At 36.6% G+C, this 26215-nt stretch overlaps 2 long non-coding RNA genes across 3 annotated transcripts in view; both read left to right on the top strand.

The window, feature by feature from the left end:
• The window catches only part of CPEB2-DT (CPEB2 divergent transcript), a 92085-nt gene that overhangs the window by 30207 nt on the left and 35663 nt on the right, over positions 1–26215 (top strand). The window lies entirely within an intron of this gene.
• On the top strand, positions 5129–15429 carry LOC105374498 (uncharacterized). 2 transcript variants are annotated; one of them, XR_001741391.1, is made up of 3 exons: positions 5129–5165; positions 7194–7342; positions 14617–15429. It is a non-coding gene; the product is annotated as an uncharacterized LOC105374498 (long non-coding RNA). The 2 variants fall into 2 exon arrangements; XR_001741390.1 differs by having other exon boundaries at positions 5131–5165; positions 6897–7342.

Below are 26215 nucleotides of genomic sequence, written 5' to 3'. Positions count from 1 at the left end.
AGATAAACATGCAAAAATTAATTGCATTTCTATATGCCAGCAATGAAAACACAGACATCAAAATTAAAAGTATGATACCATTTACAATTCCTCCAAAAATTAAATACTGAGGTGTAAATATAAAAAATATGTACAGGAATTGCAAGCTGAAAACTACAAAATACTGATGAAAGAAATCAAAGAATTTCTAAATAAATGAAGAGGTGTACTATGTTTATGGATTGGAAGACTCAACATAATAAAAATGTCAATTCTCCCCAAACTGATAAACAGATTTAATAAGATTCTCATCAAAATTCCAGCTATATTTTTTATGCATGCAGACAAGATTATTCTAACAGTAGTATGGAAAGGCAAGGAAACTAGAACAGCTAAAACAATTGTGAAAAAGAATGTAGTGTGAGGAGTCACTCTGCCCAAGTTCAAGACTTATGTAGCTATAGTAACCAAGACTGCATGTTATTGGCAGAAGGATAGACATATAAATCAAAAGGACAGAATAGAGAATGAAAACAAAGGGACTACATAAATATGCCCAAATGATTTTTATTATTTTTAAATTTTTTAATTAAATTTTTTTTGTAGTTGAGATGTTTGAGTTCCTTGTATATTCTGAATATTAATCCCTTGTAGGATAAATAGTTTGCAAATATTTTATCTCATTCTGTAGATTGTCTTTTCACTCTGCTGATTATTTCCTTTGGTGGGCAGGTTTTTAGTTTGATTTCATCCCATCTGTCTATTTTTGTTTTTGTTGCCTGTGCTTTTCAGGTTTTATTCATAAAATATCTTCCCAGACCAATTTTCTGAAGCATTTCCCTGTTTTATTTTAATAGTTTTATTATATTGGGTCTTACATTTAGTTCAAAATGGGGGTCTAGTTTCATTCTTCTGCATATGGGTATTTAATTTCCCTAGCACCATTTACTGAAGAGATTGTCCTTTCCCCAGTGTATGGTCTCGGCAATTTTTGACAAAGATGGAAAAGCAATTCATAGGAGGAATTATAGCTTTTTCAACAAATGGTGCTAAAGCAATTGTAATTTATAGGCAATAAAAATGAACCTCAACTTAAACTTCACATGTTATACAAAAATGTAAAATGAATTATGTATTTAAACATAAAACATAAAACTGTAATCTTTTAGAAGAGAACATAGGAGAGAAGCTCTATGACCTAGTCTTGCGTGAAGGGTTCTTAGATATAACATTATTAGTAAGATTCATAAAAGAAGAAAATGAATAAATTGGACTTCACCAAAATTAAAAACTTTTGCCTTCAGAATGACACTGCTAAGGGAATGAGAAGACAAGATACAAGCTGGAGACCCAATATTTGGAAACCACTTGCCTGACAAAGGGGTAGCATATAAAATACATAAAGAACTCTCAAAACAAACAACCTGATTAGCAAATAGCAAAATAAAAATTAAAGCCATGATGAGTTATCACTACATACCTATCAGAATGGCACAAATAAAAATTATGACAATACCAAATACTGTTGAGAATGTGGAGAGAGTGGATCTCATTTGTGTTGCTGGTGGTATGTAAAGTGGCACAGTCACTCTTGAAAAGAGGTTGGCAATTTCTTTATAAACTAAATATGCAGCTATCATACCATTCAGCAATTCCACTTTGAGGGATTTATTCAGGGAAATGAAAGCTTATTTTTACAGAAACTTGTACAAAAATATTCAAAGAAGTTTTATTTATAATAGGCAGAACTGGAAACAACCCAGATGTCTTTTAATAGATGAATGGTTAAACAAACTGTGATATGTCAATGTTTATTCATCATCTATTTGGTGTCACAGGACTCAACCAGGTGCTTAAATACACTTGTGACTTAAATCTCAGAATGTAAATATTATTATCCTAATTTTGTAGATTAGAAATTTGAGATTAAGGGAGTTTTATAGCTTAGCCAATGTCATTCAGGGCAAAGGCTAGAATTTTCAACCTGAGTTCATGGCATTCCAAAACCCATTTATATCCCACCACAGGAACCTGCCATGAAAATTAGGTGAGGGACTATGTGTGCTTGTTATTCTTTGTAGTTGAGAAGGATATAACTAATCATGTTATACCCTGTCTAAGGACTACTTCTGTCATTAGATTTTCAGCCCAAAGTGATTGCCTAAGAGCAGACTTTCTTTTTCAGTAGTTCCCATTCAATGCATTTACCTAGGTATCTGCAAAGTCATGGCATTTGATGAGACTTCTCTAAGAAAGAGAATGGGCTTAAACTCTCTTCTGTTGACTCATTTAACTAAGTAACAGAACTAATGCTTGTTCTTTGTCATAATTAGGTTTGCAACCTCATTTGTGGAGCCTAAAACACTCATTTGCACACATAGCTGCCTGAAATGGCTTTGTTTTACAGTGCATTTCCTCGTCTTCAGAGTCAACTAAAACACAACCATTGAGGTCCACAGTTATGGAACAGGCATGGCTGAAAAAGTAGACATATCATCACATTTTGTAGCCAGAAGAAATTATTCAATTGAAACAATCACTTCATTTTGTAGAGGCAGAATAACTTGTCCAGGTCACACATATGTGATTAAAATTAAAACATGAGTCTTAGATTTCTCCTGAGGCTCAAATCTGGGTGTTACCAAAACTTCTTTCTATGCTCCATACGTTGAATTCCAGTTGCTATTTGTTCCAAGTTTTACAAGAGCAATTCTTGTTTTGTGAATATACCATGAACAAAATACTTAATTATTTCTTTTAAAAACCAAACCAATTTCAAAGTCCTTAAACCTAGAAGGAATGGCAGCTGCAAAGATATAACTTGCTATGTTACCTAAGCACCTCTGTGTTTTAGCCATGCCTCTTAATTTTGATTCCTTAACAAATTCTTATTTGGTGCTTACCTTGCATTTTGCTTGGCTCTGGAGAAGTGATTCAATGATAAACCAATAAAAATACTGCCTTTATCTAATTTAGAGTGTTGATGCATGAGAGAAATGAGATAGTAGATGTGAAAACTGAAAACTTTTTGTAAAGTGTACAATTCTGTAAAAATTAGACATAACATGACACCATTTGCAATTGCCAGTGTACATATCATAGATGGAGATTTGAAATATTGAAAACTCCTGATCATAAACAGAAGATACATTTATATTGTAAGTTTATGACATCTAGACATTGAAATTGGACAGAATGCTTAGTAACAAAAGTTTGTTATGTGCCAGTCACTTATTTGTAATTTCTGTTCTCCACTCAAATGTAAATATAGAAAAATTGTATCTTTTTTATTACTATTATTCCAGCTGTTCGAATAGTAAGCACACACTATGCACTAAATATTTGATGAACAAGTTAATAAATTAATACTTTTTGTGTATGTATGTTAGTTTTATGATACAGGACCAAAAGTGGAATTAGTGGACATAAGATTATATAAAGTCTTGATAGATATTGCTAAATTCCTCTTCCAATTAATTGATTATACCAATTTATCTTTTAATTATCTAATTTATTAAAAAGGATACTGAGTGCCTTTATATTTTAAGCTCTTTTGTATCTGGCTAGCATGTTTTTCTTCTGGGAATAACAGTCCCTTCCTCTGGGAATTATGACTTCCCTCATCCTTCTGCTGAGAGCAGCCAAGTTAATGTGAACTCATCTTCTGATGCAACGATTGCGTCAGGAGGGGTTCCAGAATCAAGCTGGGCTAATCATAGAACCTCATCTCTGAGGTCATCAATTATTGGTCCAGGAATGTTCATTGGATCTAGTCAGGGCCAGAGACTGACTTTCTTGGAATTTTTGGGCATGGGAAACGTGACTTGAATCAATAATTTTCTGATGGTTGAAGCTATTAAGGACTTAAAACTCAGAATTTGTTGGTTGCTGTTTTTCACCAAAAGGACAAAGTTAGTTGGCACCAAGAGAGAGAAGTATGAAGCCCATACCCAGAGATGATGGACTTATCCCCCAAGATAAGTCCAAATGGAATTTCAGTGCCTGGTTCTCCGTGCTCCTGCAGTCAAACTACATGAGCAATGTTAAGATTCAGGAAATATCTCAATCTCTTTATGATGATAGTAGTAAACAGTAATAATTTTCTTCTTTTTAACTTAAATTGGTTCAAATTATCTTTCCCCCATTTTTTGTAACCAAGCATCATAATAGTGAAGCTTACTACACCAGCAGGCACCTTGACTTAATGTTCTCTTAAAAAGTATATGAAAGCATCCATTTGCCCATATATTTACCTATAAGGGATGTTATAAATATTTACATTGTTGTGTTCATATGGTGAGTAAAAACAATGGAATCACTTATTTGTTTTAATTTGTGTTACTTAAGAAGCAGCTACGCTGAGAATGTTTTCCGGTCTTTATTGGCTATTTATAATTCTGTGAATTGCTGATATATAATATTTCGTCATTTTTCTCTGGGGTTGTATTTTTCTTATTAATTTGCAGAAACTTTTGAAAAATCGCTATTAATCTTCATTATATTCATGGCGACTATATTTTCTTGGCCTATGATATGCCCAGTTGTGTTTGTTTATGCTGTATTTTATCACATAGAGGTTATTTTATGTATCCAAATATATTATACTTTTTCTTTAGGATTCCTGATTTTTTTCTTGTTTAGGAGCATTTGTCCCACTTCTAAATTATTTTCAAAAATCTAAATTTCCTTTTTACACATCTTAGTTTATTTTCTACCTTTCATTTTATGTTATTCCAATCACTGTACTTTGCTCTTTTCATATGAAATGTAATGCGTACTTTGCAAGATAAGTATTGTTATCTCTATTTTCCAGATTATGGCAAGGAAAATGAGTTTCAGAAATTTGTTCAGGTCACACATAGTAAGTGCTGATATTCTGGCAGCAAACCTCATAATCGTTGATATAGTTAGGTTCTGTGTCCTCACCCAAATCTCATCTAGTAGCTTCCATAATTCCCACATGTTGTGCGAGGGACCCAGTGGGAGATAATTGAGTCATTGGGCCGGGTCTTTCCCGTGCTGTTCTCATTACAGTGAATGGATCTCATGAGACCTGATGGTTTTAAAAACAGGAGTCTCCCTGCACAAGCTCTCTCTTTGCCTGCCGCCATCCATATAAGATGTGACGTGGTCCTCCTCAACTTCTGCCATGATTGTGAGGCCTCCCCCAAATTGCCCAGTCTTGGGTATGTATTTATCAGCAGTGTGAAAATGGACTAATACAATCCTTCAAATTTTCATGCCATCTGTGCAAAATATAGATGAGAAACTGGCTAATTTATAACTGCTGGAATTTTATTTATTCCCTAAGTGATTTGAGTTAATACTGCAAATTAATATAACAATATAGATATATATTGTATATGGGACCTTGGATCAGTACAAACTGTAGTCTAAATGCACTTTGTATTCAATATGTCCTTGATTAAGAAATTGGTGAATAAATAAATGATAGGGACTGGGGTGGCAAGGGTCACACTAAGCTCATCTGCGCTTGGAGAGTCAAGGTTAAACTAGAAGCAAAGATGTGGAATAGGATGAGGAAAAAGCTGGATGTCAGGTGTGTGCAGCAGCACCGTTAAGGCACAGCTTCCTACCTGGAGTTCCCAGCTATTCACTATTCTTCCCATAGCGATGAGTTGAGGCTCACTCCTCTGAATTTGCCTAGTGCCTTCACACACCTCTATAGCACTTTTGTCCTTGTCAGCTTAGTGCACTAGGCAGTGTCCTCCCAAGCCGTGGCACTTAGTCTTTTTGTTCTGTGCCCCTGGTCTCCTCATAGCACCAGGTATACTATGGAGATGTGGTCCACACACAGGCCAGAGAGCCAGCTGGGGCTGTTGAGCTTGGAAATGTGGCCTGTGATCTAATTTCAGGATGAGAAACTTAGAAAGTTGCCTTATTCTTGATGTTTTTCAAATAATTCTAGATGTAATCATTTTGGTGGCTTAAAAGCAGTGCCAACTTTCTTAATGGCATTCTTCTACTCAATAAAGCAGGCAATTTAAGTTCCAAGGATGTATATATTTCCTATGAAACCCAATAAGTCTATTTTCTTTTTGAATGAAAGAAATATAGCCTCTAAGTAATACACACACACATACACCCCTATGTGTACATGTATGTATCCATACATATTATTCCTGTATTGGCCTTCATGTAAAAGAAGGCTGCTCAGTACTGGACTCCATGATCAGCAAATGCCAAACTTGGGAAATGTTCAAGTCATCAGTCCATAGATACATTTAACCAGTAATGCATCAGTCTTCCCCATAGGTAGATCCCATCAGAGAGACATCAGTAGCCTCAGCTGCTTCCTCCTGGCTGATACCCCAAAGACATTAGGGTGTTCAGTGGTACCTGCCAGGTGCCCACCTCCCAGAAATGGTGTTTAAATGATGGCCTAACAAAAAAGGTCAGTGGACATCATGTTATGTGTGCATTTCACCTGCATAAATGCAATCACAGGGGCTGTAGTAACCATAGAAGTGTGCCACTCAGATTCCCTTTTAAGAGGACCTTTTGTGGGAAGCACAGCTGTTGGCAGCTGTTAGACTTTCACATTTGAAACTGCCAATGCTGTGCGTCATCTAGACTCTTCTAGCCAACATCTGGGTATGGCAGGGGCACTGGGTCCATTCCTTCTCTACCCAATGTGGGATTCCACTAACAGGCAGTGTTGTGTTTGCTTGTTGACTCCTTATTGGTTTGGCTGAGATTTTCTTAGAACTTCACTGTAGTCTGAGCTTTTCCTGGCCAATCCTTCTTTCTCCCTCTCCTTGCATAAGTATCCAATCTGTGTTATGATCTGAAAGCTCTTCCTCATCACTCCTGCTCCCTTTTTCTTTATCTTTCATATGTGTTTTCCCCATCAAATCTCTTGTTTATCTAATCCCTTTTTGGTGCCTACCTCTCAGAAAATCTGAATTGATACAGCAGCTCATCTGAAAAAAAAAGATGGGGTGGTGGTGGTGGTGGAGAAAACAGCAACTTAAATAGTGCCATCTACGAATTAGGAGTGTTCACTGAATGAGCATGAGATGCAGGTACCTTGTTCCCTCAGCCAGGTTCTATGTTCCTTAAAGTCCTAATTTTAGTCAGTAAATATTTATGGCATTTACTCTATGCCAGACAATGTTCTAAATATTTTATTTATACTGAATTATTTGGTGTTTACATCAGCCATATGATTAACTACTGTTTCCATTTTGCAGATGAGAACATTGAAGCACAGAGAAATTATGTTAACTTGTCCAGTGCCAAAGAGCTATTAAGTGGCAGAGCTGGGATTTACTTCCACTGCACTGTTGCCTCTTTGGTTAGGAGCTCTTTGCTGTGCTGAGATTGCAGTATTTAAAGATAGGTATTTTTGATAAAATATGTTCATTAAACTATCTTCAATTTCTTTGCATGATACTTAGCTAAATAAATAAGAATTTCTTTCCAGCAGTGAAAGGAAAGCTGACTACACTGAATTTGTTAGTCTTCAGTATGGCAACTTCCTACAAATTGAGGTTCAGAAAGTTGTCCAGGTCATTTGCAAGAAGAATATTGATATTATATATATACATATATATATATGACCATATATTATATAATTAATATCTATAATCATATATTACATATTATATGATTATAGATACTAATTATATATATTATAAATATATAATTATTACATCTATATTATATATATATTAAAAAAATATATATATCAGCTATTTCAAATGACAATTCCCAGATTTGCTTCATCCAGGCAAAGTCTTTTAGTGGATTTTTGTGGGGTAAGAGTGAAAAGGGTCGGTGGTATGTTCCAATGTTGGAAAATTAGTCAGAAATATATATTTCTCTTCTATTACCAGCTGGAAAACTCTATTTTCAGAGGACTCATGTGACTCAACAGGACCCACTTGGATAATTTCCATATTTTAAGGTCAACTGTGCCATATAAAAAAATCTAATCACAAGAGCAGAATCCACCATATTCATGGTCAGTAAAGCAGGCAATTCAAATTCTAAGAATATATATATTTTCTGTGGAACCCAATAAGGCTATTTTCTTTTAGAATGAAAGAAATATAGCTCTTAAGTAATACACCAAGAATTATTTAATTTAATAAGTTTCAATTCAGAAATATATATTTCTGACTAATTTTCTGACATTAGAATATACCACAACCCTCTTCACTCTTACCCTGCAAAAATCCACTGAAAGACTGCCTGGGTGAAGCAAACCTGGGAATTGTCATTCAAAATAACTGATTTTTGCGGAGTGATGGATGACAATTTTCAAGTAGTTACGATGCTCTGGATAATGTAGTAGATAATGAACATGCATCCAATAATTTAAATCACACAACCACCTGTGGAGTGGTTGCCCATTTAAGAAGGAAGAAATCCGGGCCGGGCGCGGTGGCTCACACCTGTAATCCCAGCACTTTGGGAAGCCGAGTCGGCCGGATCACGAGGTCAGGAGATCGAGACCATCCTGGCTAACACGATGAAACCCCGTCTCTATTAAAAATACAAAAAATTAGCCGGGCGTAGTGGCGGGCGCCTGTAGTCCCAGCTACTCGGGAGGCTGAGGCAGGAGAATGGTGTGAACCAGGGAGGCGGAGCTTGCAGTGAGTGGAGATCACGCCACTGCACTCCAGCCCGGGTGACAGAGCGAGACTCCGTCTCAAAAAAAAAAAAAAAAGAAGTAAGAAATCTGAACTAGATATATAAATGAATTGCTCAACGTCAGAGCTCGTAAGTAGCTGAGTCAAATGAAAACCAAACCTTACCAATTAGTCTGTGTTGTTGTTATTTTAAACCGCCTGCATTAGCTAACAGGGTTTATATTTCTGAGCTACCCCCTCACTCCCAACTATTCTTGCTTCTGTGGACTTTCTTCTTAACCATGGCAAATCAGACCTACTTTAAGCTTTTCATGATGTCACAGGACTTCTTTATGAATTAAATTACTTTAATGCCAACATTTGTGAGATTATGTGTGATTTTAGACAACTACTTTGTTACTCATTCTTTTTTCATTCACCAATGTTTATAAAATACCCTCTCTCTCTCTTTTTCTTTTTCTTTTTTTTTTAAGACAGTCTCTCTGTCACCCAGGCTGGAGTGCAGTGGCGCCATCTCGGCTCACTGCAACCTCCGCCTCCCGGTTTCAAGCAATTCTCCTGCCTCAGCCTCCTGAGTAGCTGGGATTACAGGTGCGTGCTACCACGCCTGGCTAATTTTTGTATTTTTTTTAGTAGAGGCGGGGTTTCACCATGTTGGCCAGGCTGGTCACGAACTCCTGGCCTCAGGTGATCCACCCACCTCAGCCTCCCAAAGTGCTGGGATTACAGGTGTGAGCCACTGCGCCAGGCCTAAAATACCTTCTCTTTTAGGCAGATAGATAAAGGCCATTCTAAAACAAGCCCTAAGATTTCCTGCTTACTGTTGCACATATTTTTCATAATCCCCAGGACAATGAATATGGTGGATTGTAATGGTTAATACTGAGTGTCAACTTGATTGGATTGAAGGATGCAAAGTATTGATCCTGAGTGTGTCTGTGAGGGTGTTGCCCAAGGAGATTAACATTTGAGTCAGTGGACTGGGAAAGGCAGACCCACTCTCAATCTGTGTGGGCACTATCTAATCAGCTGCCAGTATGATCAGAATAAAAGCAAGCAGAAGAACATGAGAGACCAGACTGGCTTAGCCTCCCTGCCTACCTCTTTCTCCTGTGCTGGATGTTTCCTGCCCTCGAACATCAGAGTCCCAAGTTCTTCAGCTTTGGGACTCGGACTGACTTTTTTGCTCCTCAGCTTGAAGATGGCTTATTGTGGGACCTTGTGACTGTGTAAGTTAATACTCCTGAATAAACTCTCCTTTTTAAATACATCTATCCTATCAGGTGTGGTGGCTCATGCCTGTAATCCCAGTACTTTGGGAAACCGTGGCAGGCAGATCACTTGAGGTCAAGAGTTCGAGACCAGCCTGGCCAACATGGTGAAACACCGTCTCTACTAAAAATCCAAAAATTAGCTCTGTATTCTGGCACATGCCTGCAATCCTAGCTACTTGGGAGGCTGGGGCAGGAGAATTGCTTGAACCCGGGAGGCGGAGGTTTCAGTAAGCCAAGATCGCACCATTACACTCAGCTTGGGCAAAGAAGTGAGACTCCATCTCAAAATAAAGTAAAATAAAATAAAATAAAATAAAATAAAATAAAATAAAATAAATACATCTATCCTATTAGTTCTGTCCCTCTAGAGAACCCTGACTAATACAGTGGACTTTGCTCTTGTGATTGGATTTTTTTATATGGCACAATTGACATTAAAATAGGGAAGTTATCCAAGTGGGCACTGTTGAGTCATAAGAGTCCTTGAAAACAGAGTTTTCCAGCTGTTAATAGAAGAGGAAGTCAGATTGGAAAGCATAAGAAGGTTTTTCCACACAATTGCCAGCCTGAAGATGGAGGGGCCCAGATGATATGGAGTGTGGGTGGCCTCTAGGAACCCTTGGCTGGCAGTCAGTAAGGAAATGGAGATCTTAGTTTTATAGTATAATGAAGCTGGATTTTGCTAATACTCTGAATGAGCTTGGAAGCAGATTCTTTTCCAGAGCCGCCAGATAAGAACTTAGCCTAGTCAACACCTTGATTTCAGCCTTTAGTGCTCTCATCAGATCATAGACCCTAGCCAAGCTGTGAATGGACTTCTGACCTAAAGGACCAGGACTAATAAATGGTTGCTGTTTGGAGCCACTAAGATTATGGTAATTTGTTATGCTGCACTAGAGACAAATATACCCTTTATAGAGGATCATGATAGTTCTTGGTCCTGAGGATATAACATAGCCTCTGCAATCACAGAGTTTATGTTCTGGGAGAAGGATGGGGGATGAAGAAGATGCATGAAGAAATACCAATAAATAAACACACGGTAAAATATCAGATGGTGGTCAGTGTTATGAAGAGAATTATAATGGGGTGATATAATTGAGAGTGTTAGGGGGCTTCTTTAGATCAGTTGGTCAAGAGAAGTCTCCTTGATGCAGTCTTATTTGAAAAGACTCGTATGACAAGAAGTTTCCAGTCAAATTCAGTTCTGGGAGAAGTGCAATCCAGGTAGATGAGGTGCCACTGTGAAGGGCTTCACGTGAGGAAGAACTTGTGATTGACAGACAGGTGGTATGGCTGGCCCCTAGATGATGGTGGGGCCAGAGGAAGTTGGAGAGATGGTTAGAGGTCAGATTTGGTGGGACTTTGTGTATTATGGTAAAGAATTTGAATTTGATTCTAAATGTGTTGCACCATTGGAAGACTCTAAATAGATTATATGATTTGATTTATACTTTCAAGATTTTATACAGTGCGGAGACACATAGAAAGATTTCAGTTAGAAATAGAGCAAGACTTTTTGTTCCTCTTTCAAAAAATTGAAATACTTATCCACCTGTACATGTGGAGAATATTTATATTTTTATTTAAAAATTAAATATTTATTTTATATTTTATATTTTTATACATTTTATATATGTATTTATATGTATATATACACATATAAATTTATATATATGTATTTATATGTATATATGTGTATATATATACGTATATGTATATATACGTATATATATAAAATATATATTTATACATTTTATATTTAAAGTTTTAACGCATTTTTTTTTAGCTCAGGGACATTATCCTTTTACACTTTTTCTATCCTCCTTTTACCCTTGTCCTTTTTATGTTTTCTATCTTCTCCTTTCTGTGTTTACTTTTTTTATTTTGAAAAAAATCAGAAAAAGTTTACAGAGAAGAGTATCAAAATATCTGACCAAGAATCAACATTTAACATACTGACATGTTTGCTCCAAGTTCTTATGCTTTTTAAAAGAAGGGAATGTTATGAGTTAAAGTCAAGCCCATTTTGTCCTTCATCCTTATCCTAATTTTTTTTTTTGAAGAAGTTAAATGTATCATAGATTTTGTGTGTATCCTTCTAGGCCTTTATTGATTTTTAATTTTTTTACATACACATGTATGTTTAATTGTTTGGTGGATTTTTAAATTAAAAACACTATCTTTTACATATTTATTATTTATTTATACAATGTCACTAAATTAAGTTTGTATAAAGGCTATAATAAATGTTAAAAAAAGGTTTGCCTAGGCTAATAGGAAAATGAGGACCAGTTGAGAGTCATCTGTGGACATTCAGATGAGCAAAGATGGTGGTTTGGACAAGGGCAATGGTAGTAGTGGTGAAGAGAAATGGATAGATTTGAGATCTGTTTCAGAGACAGTCCTTGCTGATGCATAGGATGTGAGAGATGAAGGACAGAGAAGAACTAAGATAACTCCTAGATTTTTTTTTTGGCTTGAGCAATTGAGAGGATGAGATTGATGAAAATAAGAGGTTGGATTGTGGAGAATCAATAGGCCTATTTTGGCCATAAAACGTTTGAGCTGCCTATCGGGCATCAAGTGAAGACGTCAAGTTTACAGTTACATATGTAAGTCTGAAATTCAGAAGGAAGATTAAAATTGGAGATAAAAATGTGGGAATGATCAGCAAAAGGAATCATACATAGGACCTTGAGATTACCTAAAGAGAGACTACAGATAGACCAGATAAAAAGGATAAGGACTGAAGTCTAGGGTACTCCAAAATTTGGGGATCAAAGAGTGAACCTGCATAGCAGTATGAGCAGGAATAGCCAATGCATTAGAGGGAAACAGGACGGTGTGTGGGGTGCTGGAAGCCAAGAAAAGAGAGAGGAGGGAACAAGGTGTGAAATCCAGTCAGTGATTCTATGCAGCAGCTTTTCTACTTTTGATCCCCACCATGACCCTGTAGAGTAGGAAATGACAGAATTATTATTTTTATTTGTAGATAAAGAGCAGCTTTGAGAGATTAAATGACTTTTCCAAGTGGCCTGGCTAATCAGGGGGCCTTCCAAATGCCTGGTTGCTGATCCCTTTGCCTTTCCAGGGAGCATTGCAGCGACTTTGTCTCCTTCTGTTGGGTTGTATTACATTAATGTCTTGGGGCCTGTGGCACACTTAATATTCAGTGCTTCTATAAAAAATGAATGCTGGGGTTTTATATGCTTGTGACCAGTTTTTATGGGTTTCCTGCTTCCTCATTTGTTGTTAGGACGTCAATTAGCCCTTCTCCTTACCCTTAGTGCTCCTGCCTGCAGTGACCGTGGCTTGCCTTCTGTTATTTTAAATTTGTTGAGCACTTTATAATTCACACCTGAATTCCAAATGTGTGGCAGGTACCCGAATTTTTCATAGATGATGCCAAGTGTATATTAGTAGGGCTTTAAATATTTACAGAATGCTTGGCCCTGTTTAATTATTAACACTGGGTCATGTTAAGTGAAACAATGTTCACCTGGCATTTTGATATTCTTGCAAAAGTGTTCAAAAGGGTTTGTGGAAAATAATAGCACTAAATTTTCTCTATTCTGTCACGACAAATAAATTTGTACCAAGATCATCCTATAGCTAGTCCTGGAAAAGTACTGTGATTCAAGTGGAAAAGTACTCTGATTTACTCTTTGGAAAACAATTTCTGGGATCTAACAGCCTCAGTCCCATGATTGAGAATGTCTTTCCTTTTTTTTTCTCTGTCTGGTTTAGGGAACACTCAGTTACTGAGAAACAATAAAGAAAAAAATTTAAACAATAAAAATTAGAGTAAAGCACCAGGAAAAAAATACACACACACATATTTGCAAGACATGAAGGTTAAGTTTACGTGTACAATGACTTGGTTGATTTGGTAGTGTATAATGAAATTAAAGCCATTTGTTCTAAGTGTAAACTACAGCCAAAGTTTCTAAGTAAACTCAATGAACCAGGATTGTTTTTTAATGAAAAATTTTAAGATACCAATTAGAATGTTTAGTTCACAAAAATTTAATTCTCCTTATAAACTAAAATGGCACTTATTTGTCATCTCTCCAGTCAAACTATCTTCATGATTTTTCTGCCTATTGTAGAAGGCTGCTGGATAATAATATTAAAGGAAAAAATGCCTTAAAATTGTAAAGGATTTGAGGGCCTCCTTCCTCCTTCTGTGGAGAAAGAAGTATGTATTCCATTGCATGGAGAGCAAGAGAGCAAGGAAAGAGGCTCACATTTATATTCGTGGGAGGTAGGGCCGTCTGAAGGATTTGAAGATCAGTGTATTAGTTTTCTAGGGTTGTGTAACAAAGTACCACAGAGTGAGCAACTGAAACAACAGAAATGTATGGTCTTGCAGTTCTGGAGGTTGAAAGTCTGAGATCAAGGTGTGGGCAGAGCTGGTTCCTTCTGAAGGTTGTGAGGGAAGGTCTATTCCAAGGCTCTCTTCTTGGTCATGTCTTCATATGATCTTTCTTCTCTGCATGTCTCTGTGTCCAAATCTCCACTTCTTATAAGGAAACCAGTCATATTTTATTGAGGCCACCTGTATAACCTTGTTTTAGCTTGATTACTTTTTTAAAGGCCCTACTCCACATAAGGTCACATTCTGAAGTGCTGGAGTTAGGACTTCAACATATTAATTTTGAGGGGAAACAATTCGGCCCATAACAATCAGACGTCTTTAGTTCATTAACTTATTAATTTATTGGCCTCTTGTACCAAAACAGACACTGCACCAGGAACTGGAGGACAAGGTAGCCAATTTCTTGCCATTCTATTAAGGGAGGAAGATTTTAAACAAATAACTACAACAAAATGTACAGAGTGGCATGATCAAAGGAGTACAAGGAGCTATCAGAGATGACTAGGAGTTGGCCAGATGAAGAAAGTGTAGAGGGAAGTGTCTTGAAACCTTTCCCCTGAACAAACCTGAAAGGTAGAAGACCATGAGATGACGCCTCTGGGGGACTGGGTATATAGCTCAAGGCTGTCCACACAACTGGGATATCCTTTCATTGAGGTTTTATGCTCTCTTTTTCATAGCATTTATGCTTTTTATATTCTACTCTGTAATATATTTATGTTGGTTTAAATATAAAAGTAATCTTTTAAATCTATTTCTATCAAGAAAAAGGCCAAACCAAAATGATTTCCTTCCTACCACAAGGAATATGTACTACTTTTACCTCCTGTTGTGTCCCCAGTAGTTCTAATTCTACCCCAGTTTGAGAGACATGGCTCTTATCACCCCAGATTTTATCCTTAGATTAATCCAGAGCATGTGAGAATTGTCTTGGTTTGGACCAAATATATCAGAGCAACTAAATTAAATCTGTGGTAGTGTTGATAGATGTTTTCAAATTCATCGTTACATACACCATAGGGATGCTACTGACAGTTCCATTGTCATGCAGTGACCCCTTTAGGAAGACTTGTGGGAAAAATGATTTATCTGAGGACTCTGGATCAGAAATATCTTTATTCCTCCAAAGTATAATGTGGCCCCTTTAACTGATCATTCTTCTTTCTTTGCTTTGGCTGCCAGGAGGCTCAAAAGAAAATTACTGTTTGTTTGTTTGTTTATTTATTTATTTATTTATTTAGAGATGGAGTCTTGCTCTGTCATCCAGGCTGGAGTCCAGTGGCGTGATCTCTGCTCACTGCAAGCTCTGCCTCTCGGGTTCATGCCATTCTTCTGCCTCAGCCCCCCGAGTAGCTGGGACCACAGGTGCCCGCCACCATGCCTGGCTAATTTTTTTGTATATTTAGTACAGATGGGGTTTCACCATGTTAGCCAGGATGGTCTTGATCTCCTGACTTCGTGATCCACCCACCTCAGCCTCCCAAAGTGCTGGGATTGCAGGCGTGAGACACCGCACCCAGCCTACCATTTTATTTTTAATCAATTTGTTGGGGCTTTTACTGTTCAGAGTCTATCTAGTAATTTTCCCATTGTTCTCCTCTCACCATTTTACCTTTATTATCTCTTCAGCTTTATCTTGTTATTTATAATATAGCAGTACTATGTGTTATTATATAGTCTATAGAGCTATATAGACTATAAAATAACACTATAAGACTATTACATTGCATCAGAACGTTTGTATTATTTTTTATTTTATTGTGAGTGCAGTGGATATTGCTGTTTATATACCCATTATTGTATTTGCCCTAAGTAAACTATCCCAGTGTTCATTTAATGATGCATCTCCTTCTGTCACCCTTGATTTCAGGAACCCTGCCTCCATCTTCAGCTCTGGAGGTTCATGCAAGTGGTTTGGAGCTAATTCATCCAAAACTGGCATAGCGATTCAGGAATCCAGGTCTAAGACAGTTAGCACTTGCTAGGCCCCTGGACTCCATTCATGAATCGATCAAGCTCAGGCCAGAGACACAAGAGGGAGAAATTCTTAGGGTTCTAAGTCAGACATTTCCTATAACTGAAAAACAAACCACTGGATGTCAGAGGGAAGTAAATACACTGAGTAAGGGTCAATCAAAAAACTATGGAGAAACTGAGTTATAGTCTTCAGGTTAATAAATCCTCAAGTCTAGCTGGTTTCTAGGTTTCTTTTTTCCTGAGCCAAATGTATTTCCTTATTATTTAAGATAGTCTGAATTTTTGTTGCTTTGTTATTGTTGTTCTCACTTAAACAAACCACCTCTGATATGTTTTGTTCCTTCTCTTGCCATGAGACACACTGGCTCCTTTTCACATTTTGCTATGATTGTAAGCTTCCTGAGGCTGCCAACCAGAAGCTAAGCAGATGCTGTTACTTTGCTTGTGAAGTCTGCAGAATGATGAGACAAATAAACCTCTTTTCTTTCTGAATTACCCAGCTTCAGATGTTACATCCTTGCCTTTACTATCATGCTGGAGAAAAATCATTCTTTGGAGAATAAACTAGTGGGAGTGTGGTCTCAGGGACACCAACATCTGGGGAGAGCAAGGTAGTGTGGCATGGGATTAAAGAAAACGTATACAACAAATTCGGAGACCCTCAGCAGCCTTCCCCCATTGCTTTAGAAGGCCAGCAGCCAGACATATGTCCTATTCTTCACCTTCTACAGCAGCAGATTGGAAGGTCATTTTGTGTAGAAATGAAGTGGGCCCAGAGAGATTTTTAGACACAGACATGTGGAGCTCTCCATCAGGAAGGATGGCTTGCCCTTTCATTACCCCGAGTAAAACCCAGCAATTAAGTATCTGCCCATGCTTACAGTGCTTCAGATGAAACACTTGATGCTTCACTCTGAAAAAACAAGCGGACAATCCAGGATAACTGGATATTTTGAGGAAGGCTTTCCACATGAAAGAGCTGAAAACACGCACAATATCAACCAGCCAATGAAAGAAACAAATCAACAAAACAACAAGGAAAAGGAATTCAGTGAAATAGAGACAATGTTGGGAACAAAGGAAAATTTTCAAAAAGCTGCCACTAATAACTTCAGAAATACAAGAAAATTTGTTGCATCTTTAGAATAACAACAGGAAGCTTGGGAAAAAGAAACATCAGAGCAATAAAGAGCTCTTGGGGAAAATATTTTTATTTCATATCCCAGAAAATAAATTTAAAAGTGCATACAATTTTGGAAAATAACTTTGTTGAAAAACAAGAGGAATAATGATGAATAAGAAGGAAGGAAAGAAAATTAGAATCTCAATCTAGGAAGCTTCACCTCTAAACATTAGGAGTTTCAGAAAGAGAAGATAGAGAAAAAGGAAAGGATAAGATAATCAAATGAATAATGTAGGAATATCTCTTACAGCTGAAATACGTGAGCTTCTACACTGACGGGTTCCCTAATTACTCAGCACACTATACACAAGAAGACCCTAGAAGAGTTACTTGAGATGAAAGAGGGAGGGAGGGAGGGAGGGAGGGAGAGAGAGAGAGAGAGAGGAAATTCAGAATGGCTTCTGAATGTTCTAGCATTCAGCAACACTGAATGCTAGAACAAAAGAGAAATATTTTCAAAACTTGGAGGGATAATTATTTTCAATCTACTATTCTATACTAAGCCAAATTATCGATTGAGGGTACACAGTAGTATACAGACATTTTCTGACATGAAAGGCTCAAACGTTTTGCCCACTACACATCTTTTCTTAAGAAGCAAATGAAGAATGTTCTTTATAAAATGAGGGAGTCAATCAAGGAAGAGAAAGACATGGTATTAAAAAACCAGGCCATGTAATGCCTGGGGTGGAGGAGGGTGAAGAAAAGAAGGCTTAGCATGAAAGCCAGGTAGCTGGCCCGGAGATCAAAGGGTCCACAATAGGAGCAGAAGAACTGTAGGCCGTGGGAGAGAGGGTGCAGGATGGGTGGGTCGAAGAAGGGAGGGCAGGAGGCAGAAACGTATAGAGTGTTTGAAACTGTAGCCCAGCAAGTGCAAAAATTACCGATAGATTTTAAAAGATCCGTTGGGGCATTTAGGACAAAAGTAATAGTAAGTACATTTAAAAAATTAACAGAAACCAGGATGTATTAAGAATCCGAGGAAAAACAATAAGTTCTAGGAGAAGGAATAAGTAATTATGGTACATTACATGGTTTAGTAATAAACAACATTTATATAGTCATAATGATGCACCCAGTATTTGATATATAATTAAATTGAGGGATGTGGGTTGAGGATGGCATAAGAAAGCTAACCCCTTAAGTTCTATAACAGGAAGTCACTACAAAAGGCTGAAAATTTATAAAACAAGATTTAGCAGTGTAAGCATCTTATTTTGAAGATAGGGAAACAATTACCAGGAGAAGTAGGTACAACAATTGAAAGAGGTTGGCTCTGGGGAGCAGGACTGGGGTTTTGATGGTGACTGGGGCAGAAGATTACCATTTTCTCAGTATAATCTAGTTTATTTAAAGAACATTTATTATTTAGATGAAATAAAACAACCAGTATTAAAAATCATGCTTCCTGTGCAGCTTTTTTTGATGCCTTCCATGCAGTCAAAATTACTTGTCTTCCCCTCTTCTCCCACTCCAATTCTCCCTTCTCATTTTGTACTCATCCAGATTATATGACCTATTTTGCTAGTTTCATTTATTTATGATCTGGCTTTTGAGACTAATGATGAGTTATTTGAGTGTAGGGGCTATGTCAAAGGTTTCCAAAATTGCCTTGGTTCACATTGCCTTTATTGTCTCAGTAATGTTTTGATGAGGCCCCTAGTCTAAAATAAACACCCAACAGGTCTATTTATTAGGTAATGAGGTCCAAACAACTTAAAATATCTTTTGTGTTTCAGGAATGAGCACCAGGAGTTTACAGCACATGTTATTCATATCAGAGATGTCCCAGTTGGTATCCCTCAAATAAGACAAACTAACTTCCCCCACAACAAGGGTTGCTGAAATTGCTAACCACAATAATAGTCAAAATTTAAAATGAAAGAGAAAAAGACTAACCCAGAATTCTGCCAGTCAAAAACATCACCTGTTTTCACTTCCATATTTCTATCTAGTTTTTTCCATATGCAGAAAATTACATATTTTTACATATAATCAGTAAAGATGTAATTTTGTGTCATATTTTCTCAAGACTTTCAGACACAGCTTTCCTTGCCAGTACATGGTCTTCATAATGGTCATTTCCAACAGCTGTGTTATATTTCATCAGATTTTAGTGGTTATTGAAACATTTCCCTATGAATGGATGTATTGATTGACTCTTTCTTCCTCTACAATTAACATCTTCCTACACATTTCTCTATTCTTCTTTGTGATTATTTACCTAAGTTATTTTCTGGTGGAGGCTAAAATGGGTATGAATTTTTAGAGTATAGGAATCTCAAAACGGAGAGAAGTTGCTTTGTTAAACCTCAAACTTAAGGCAGGGACACCCTCTAAAGCCATATGCCTCTTCTTGACTCCTTTCTATAAATTTCACTTTCTCACAAGAAAGTTTATCCAATTGCTGGCCAGTTCAAATTTCTAAAATTCGGAGTTTCTTGATCCCCACGCAGCATCATTTGCTTGACTTGCTGGCCCTCATTCTGTCCTCAGGAGCCATACAAAACAAGTATGTTTTCTTCTTCCACATGACAGCCTTTCAAATATTTGAGGATGATGATAATGGACAAGTTGACCTTTGTACAATCTTTTGACTAAGGTATTCCCAGTCTCTGACTGTGAATCCTCCTACTCAGTCACCTTTGCCATTTTCTGCCCCAGTTACCCAAACTTCTTCCATTCCTGCCACACATCCACAGCTCTCCCAATGTCCTCCATGGGCTGTCCCTTTAGATCTATGCCACTGTATCCTGTTAAATCAAAGATGCCATCAATTGTAAGATGCAATATGATTTTTTAATTTTTTTAACTAAGAAACAAAAACTACTGCCAATTAAATTCTGACATGATATCAATTGTAAAGCACACCTCATTTTCCAAGAGAATAAAATATGAAAAAAAAATGTGTCTTAGAATCAATGACACACAGGAAGGCAGTTGTTTCTTTTGTTTTTTAATTTTTTATTTCCATATGTCTTTGGGGAACAGGTGGTATTTGGTTACATGAGTAATTTCTTTAGTGGTGATCTGTGAGATTTTCGTGCATCCATCACCTGTGCAGTATACACTGAACCCAATTTGTAGTCTTTATTCTTTACCTTCTTCCCACCCTTTCCCTGTGAGTCCCCAAAGTTCACTGTGTCATACCTTTGCATCCTCATAGTTTAGCTCCCTCTTCTTAGTGAGAACATATGATGTTTGGTTTTCCATTAATGGCAGTTGTTTCGTCTCTTCCAATTTGTACCTTGCAAGTGGGTCCCTGGGTTGGGGGTGGTTTCTGGTGTGTGTGTGTGTGTGTGTGTGTGTGTGTGTGTGTGTGTAGTATGTGTTGCAAAGGTGTGTCCATCCATCCTATAGATAACAATATAGTTCTATTCCAATAATCATTTATAGTAAGAATAATTGCAAAGTTGTAACTCAGGAATGGAGAAATTGCAGTCAAAGCACTGATGATGAGTATGGAAATCAGCTTAAAAGTAGAGCAAATCTGAAAAACTATTGAATTTATGTTCACATCTTCAAATGCAAATGGCATAAGCTTTCACAATGTCATGGTAATAATTTAACAAATTCAGGATGGGGTAGAGAGAAGATGTGTCTGTTGGGAAGTATAAGTATTCTAATATTCTCATGTCAAATAATCCATGAATGGTATATAAATTTGAAGCATAGTTTAAAAACATAATGACCCCAGCCTCTTAGTAAATTCACAACCATATTCATGTCTTTAAATTTAGCAACCTAGAGGGGTCATTTAAGAATTGATATTTCTTGTTGGGAAGAAAATTGAATGGTTTTTAGCAATTTAATTCTACATGATTTATACTTTACTGTAAATTCAAATAAATGCCATTTAATACTTTTATTAATGGTAGCATTTATAGTACAATCCATTAAAATTTATATTTCTAAGTTTTCTAAAGTACAGTAGATTCAAGAATTTATGGTTGGTGTGTTCTATAAAGTCGCTAGGAAAACTGAATTAGAGAATACTCAACCATTGTTCCTGGGGGAAATTATGTTTCAGGTTAGGTTCCTTTGAGCCTCTGATCACAGCATCTTCATTAACTGATCATTACAAAATTGTGTGTTTTATGTGTGTTTCTGTTTAAAGGCACCTTATTTAATATATATTGTTGATTCATTTAAATTGAACCCGTGACTGACGGCATTATAATTCATGACTGAATTGAGCTTATCTAACACTTGTATTTTCTCACATCATAGCTTCTTGCACTTTGGAAAACTAGGTGGAACTTCAGCATTATGCTTCGAAGCCACCGTAACCAGTAAAATCACCAACACGAAGCACAATAATGGGAATTACATGGCACAAAATAGACTGTGCAAAGGACACTTATTTACAGTATGAGTGCTGAAACCAAATGGCAGAATATCACCTGGTTTGACTTAGCTGGGAATGTGTTTGTCAGGTGACTCAAATTTCTGCTACTGTGTGCATATCTGTGAATGGCCACAAAAGCTCCAGTAGTATTGATTTTGGGATTACAAACAAATTTTAGCATGTAGGCAAATTCACAAATATGGAATCCACAAACAAGGAGGATACACTGTATCTCTAATAAGGTCTTCTTTCACCCTTCTTCCCCCTTTTCCTCCCTAACTTCATACCTGTTCTGACATCTTCTTATCCATAGAGAGATGTCTGAAATTGTATGAAGAAAGAGTTGACGAACACTATGACTGGGTGGTGGAATTTTTAATCTGTATTTGAAAAAATATATAACAGTATACATTTTAACACATATAATGAAGTCATTATTGTTAAAACATTGATATTAAACTTTATTATTACATATTACAAAAAATAAAATATAGTAAGACTTTTTGTTTGTTTACCACAATGGTATTTGTGCTGTTTTTTTCTGCACTATAATTCAATCTTTCATTAGGAGTTAAGGAAATAGGCAGTCATACACTGCTGATTTTAGTGTAAATTAGCAAATTTTGGGGGGAAGAAAATTTGGCAAAATGTATCAAAAATGTCAATGATTTTCATTTCACTCATTAATTCCATTTAGGAATTTTACCCATGGAAATAATCCCCCCAAATTTATTAATAATATTATGATTGTTAATAGTTGTAAATATGTGAATCAATTCAACAGAACATCAATAAGAGCTCAGAAAAAGGAAATACAGCTTTTAGAAATCATGTTCTTTAAGAATTTGGATGACATTGTTAATGTAATGACAGATAAAACACCATACATGCAGATACATATGTTAAAAAGACTTGAAGGGCTGGAAGAAGTAGGTCATGCCTGTAGTCCTGGCACTTTGGCAGGCTGAGGCAGGTGGATCATCTGAGCCCAGGAGTTCGAGACCAGTCTGGGAAACATGGCGAAACCCTGTCTCTACAGAAAATACAGAAATTAGCAGAGCACTGTGGTGCACGCCTGTGATCCTGAGGTGGGAGAATCGCTTGAGCCCAAGGGATGGAGGTTGCATGCAGTGAGCTATGATCTCACCACTGCACTCCAGCGAGAGAGAGACAGAGAGAGGGAGACAGAGAGAGAGAGAGAGAGAGAGAGAGAGAGAGAGAGAGAGAGAGAGAGAGAAGGGAGGGGGGAGGGAGGGAAAGAAGGGAGGAAGTAAAGAAAGATTTGAAGAATATATAGCTAAAATGTCAGCAGTGATTGTCTGGGAGACAGGATTCTAGGTAAGTTTCATTTAAAAACTATTTGTAGGTATGATTCACCATTTCTACAGTAAATATGTACTACTTTACAAAAATTGATAAAATTATTTAAAAAATATACTTGGCCCCTCAAGGAAACATCATGATAATGGTCTAATTTACACAAATATAGGTGCCTGTTTTTCTGTTGTTGTCATGATTTTTCTTTAATTTTTATCTTAAGTTCTGGGGTACATGTGCAGGATGTGCAGGTTTGTTACATAGGTAAACGTGTGCTATGGTGGTTTGCTGCACCTATCAATCTGTCACCTAGGTATTAAGCCTAGCATGCATTAGCTATTTTTCTAGGCAATACCATTCAGGACATATGTACGGGCAAAGACTTCATGACGAAATTGCCGAAAGCAATTGCAACAAAAGCAAAAATTGACAAATGGGATCTAATTAAACTAAAAAGCTTCTGCACAGTGAAAGAAACTATCATCAGAGTGAACAGGCAACCTACAGAGTAGGAGAAAATTTTTGCAATCTATCCATCTGACAAAGATTTCACATCCAGAATCTACAAGGAACTTAAACAAATTTACAAGAAAAAACAACCCCATTGAAAACTGGGCAAAGGACATAAACTGACAGTTCTCAAAAGAAGACATTCATGCGGCCAACAAACATATGAAAAAAAAAAGCCCAACATCACTGGTCATTAGAGAAATGCAAATCAAAACCACAATGAGATACCATCTCATGCCAGTCAGGATGGCAATTGCTGTCATCATTTTTTTTTTGTTTTGCTTTTGTTGTTATTTTTTGAGGACCTTCTGCTTGTTTGGCACTCTGATAAATATTGTATCATTTAAAGTAATTTGTAATACAATCTTGTGAGGCAGATTTACTTATATTCAATTTATGGATGTGAGTACCTAGTCAGAGAGATTAAGCACATAACCCAAGGTTGTCCAATTAATTAAGGTCCCCCCAATTAAATCCAGAGTCCAGATTTAAACACAAACCTTCCCACTTTCACCTACAAATGACAATGTCAGAGTTGGAAAACCATTGTTCTGCAGAGATTAGTAGAGCAAGCTACCATTTTATTGCCAAAAAAACCATTTTCTATAAGTAATTTATTTGAACTTCACAACAGTCCAATGAGTAAATGAAAGTACTGCTAAAGATGGTTCTTTATATATAATTAGAAATTATTCCAATTAGGAATTTATGATGTTCAATATATCATTCATTCATTGATCCTACGTGTTCCTGTCATGTTCCTAAAACATGCCAGGCATTGTTCTAGTCACTGGTGATGTTAGCAATTAACAAAAACAAATTCCTTGCACTGATGAAGCTTTCCTTCTTGTTTGGAGAGACTTTGCCCTAAAAGCAAAAATGAGAAAGGGCTTTCCCAGTTTTATGATTCTTCTATTTCTGGGTAGGGGGCTTTGAGCAGTATGGTTAACTTTGTCCTCAGTTGGAGAAATTGGAGGAGGAATAGTTTTTGGAGACTCAAGTGTGTATGGAAAATCAAGGCCTTAAACTGGAGATGCCTATTAAGTATCTAATGAGGATGTTAAGCAAGACTCATTTATGAGTATGAAGTTTAGGTGAGAGGTCAGGTGTGGAGATAGAAATTTGGGAGACATTGGCTTATATATGGTACTTAAGTCATGGAATTATATGCAATTATGTAGGGAGATGGTGCCCCGAAGCACACCAACATTTAGACAAGTGGAAGATTTGGAGGCACCGAAAGGGACTGAAAAAAATAAATACATAAAGATAGAAATCCAGAGAAGTCTGGTGTTAACGGAAATCATTTACTGTAGAACCTGGCTTAGAATGCGGTTCTGATTCCCAGTGTTTGTACCATTCTCCAGTTACTGAAGATTTTAGTATGCTTTTTTTTCTTTTTATGCTTAAAATTTGTCTCTAAAAGAGTTATTTAAATGATAATTGAAGTGGTAGATTTGCCAGATGGTAATTGCTAAGATGACTTTCTTTACTTTCTAAGTCTTTTGGGCGCAAGTCCAGTTTTCTGTAATCTTCAAACATATGTGTAAATAGTTCAGTGAGTTCGTTACCAAACTCCCCGAACAGCAAAGCATGATATCATCCAGAAGCCAATTCTCACTTTAAGGTAAATGGAGCAATGAACCATTTACCTTAAAGGACCTTCACAAGTAGGTTCATCTACTTGTAGTGTCCTTCAAAATCCACACTTTGTTATTTTTTTTTTTATAATTCTTACTTTTCCATAAAGGTATAACCATCACATAATAAATTGAACTAATTTTAAATGCAGTGTGTTTTTATACCTGCATATGCTCATCTGTGCACCACCCAGACTGAGATATTCAAATTTTCCAATACCTCACAGCCACTTCCGTGCCCTTTCCCAGTCAATACCAACACTCTTCACTTTCCTCCATCACTATTCTGATTTCAATTTCTATGAGCTACATTTACCTGACCTTGAACTCCATATAAATGAAATTAAACAGTATTTTTTCCTTTGCTTCTGGCTTCTTTCATGTAATGTGATGCCTGTGAGATATGTGGTAGTAGTTCGTTCTTTTTAAAATCTTTCTGTAATATTTCATTTTATGAATATACCATAATTTATGTGTACATTCTGCTGATGATGGACATTTGGTTTGTTTCCAGTGTTTGACTATTATGAATGAAAGAGCTATGGTGAACACGCCACTCATTTCTCCTGGATATATGCCTGGGAGTAAACTGATGGATGTATAAATGCATTTAGGAGTGGAATTGCTAGGTTATAACATAGGCATTTGTGTTTTTCTTTATTCCAGTCTCTAAAAAATACAAATTAAAATAATGTGTCATTTATTGCTTATGAAGTTAGTAAATATTTCAGTATGTAGACTACCATTTTCTGTTCTCACTTTCACACACTGCTGGTTGAATTATGAATCGGTATACTCTTTTTAGAAAGTATTTTGGGAAGTATTTTGCCTTTAAAATTTTTATACTACTTGACCCAGGAGTCTTTTCTCCTTTTACTTTTTTAGAACCCATCCTAAGAAAATAATCATAAATATTGTTAAAATTTCTAAAACAAGATATTTACTGGATAACTATTTGTAGTAGAAAAAACAATGAAGATGGTCTATG

The sequence above is a fragment of the Homo sapiens genome, chromosome 4 (genome assembly GCF_000001405.40).
Source record: "Homo sapiens chromosome 4, GRCh38.p14 Primary Assembly".
Lineage (NCBI taxonomy): Eukaryota > Metazoa > Chordata > Mammalia > Primates > Hominidae > Homo > Homo sapiens.
The sequence above is the reverse complement of the archived record's forward strand: the minus strand, read 5'-3'. Positions and strand labels throughout refer to the sequence as shown.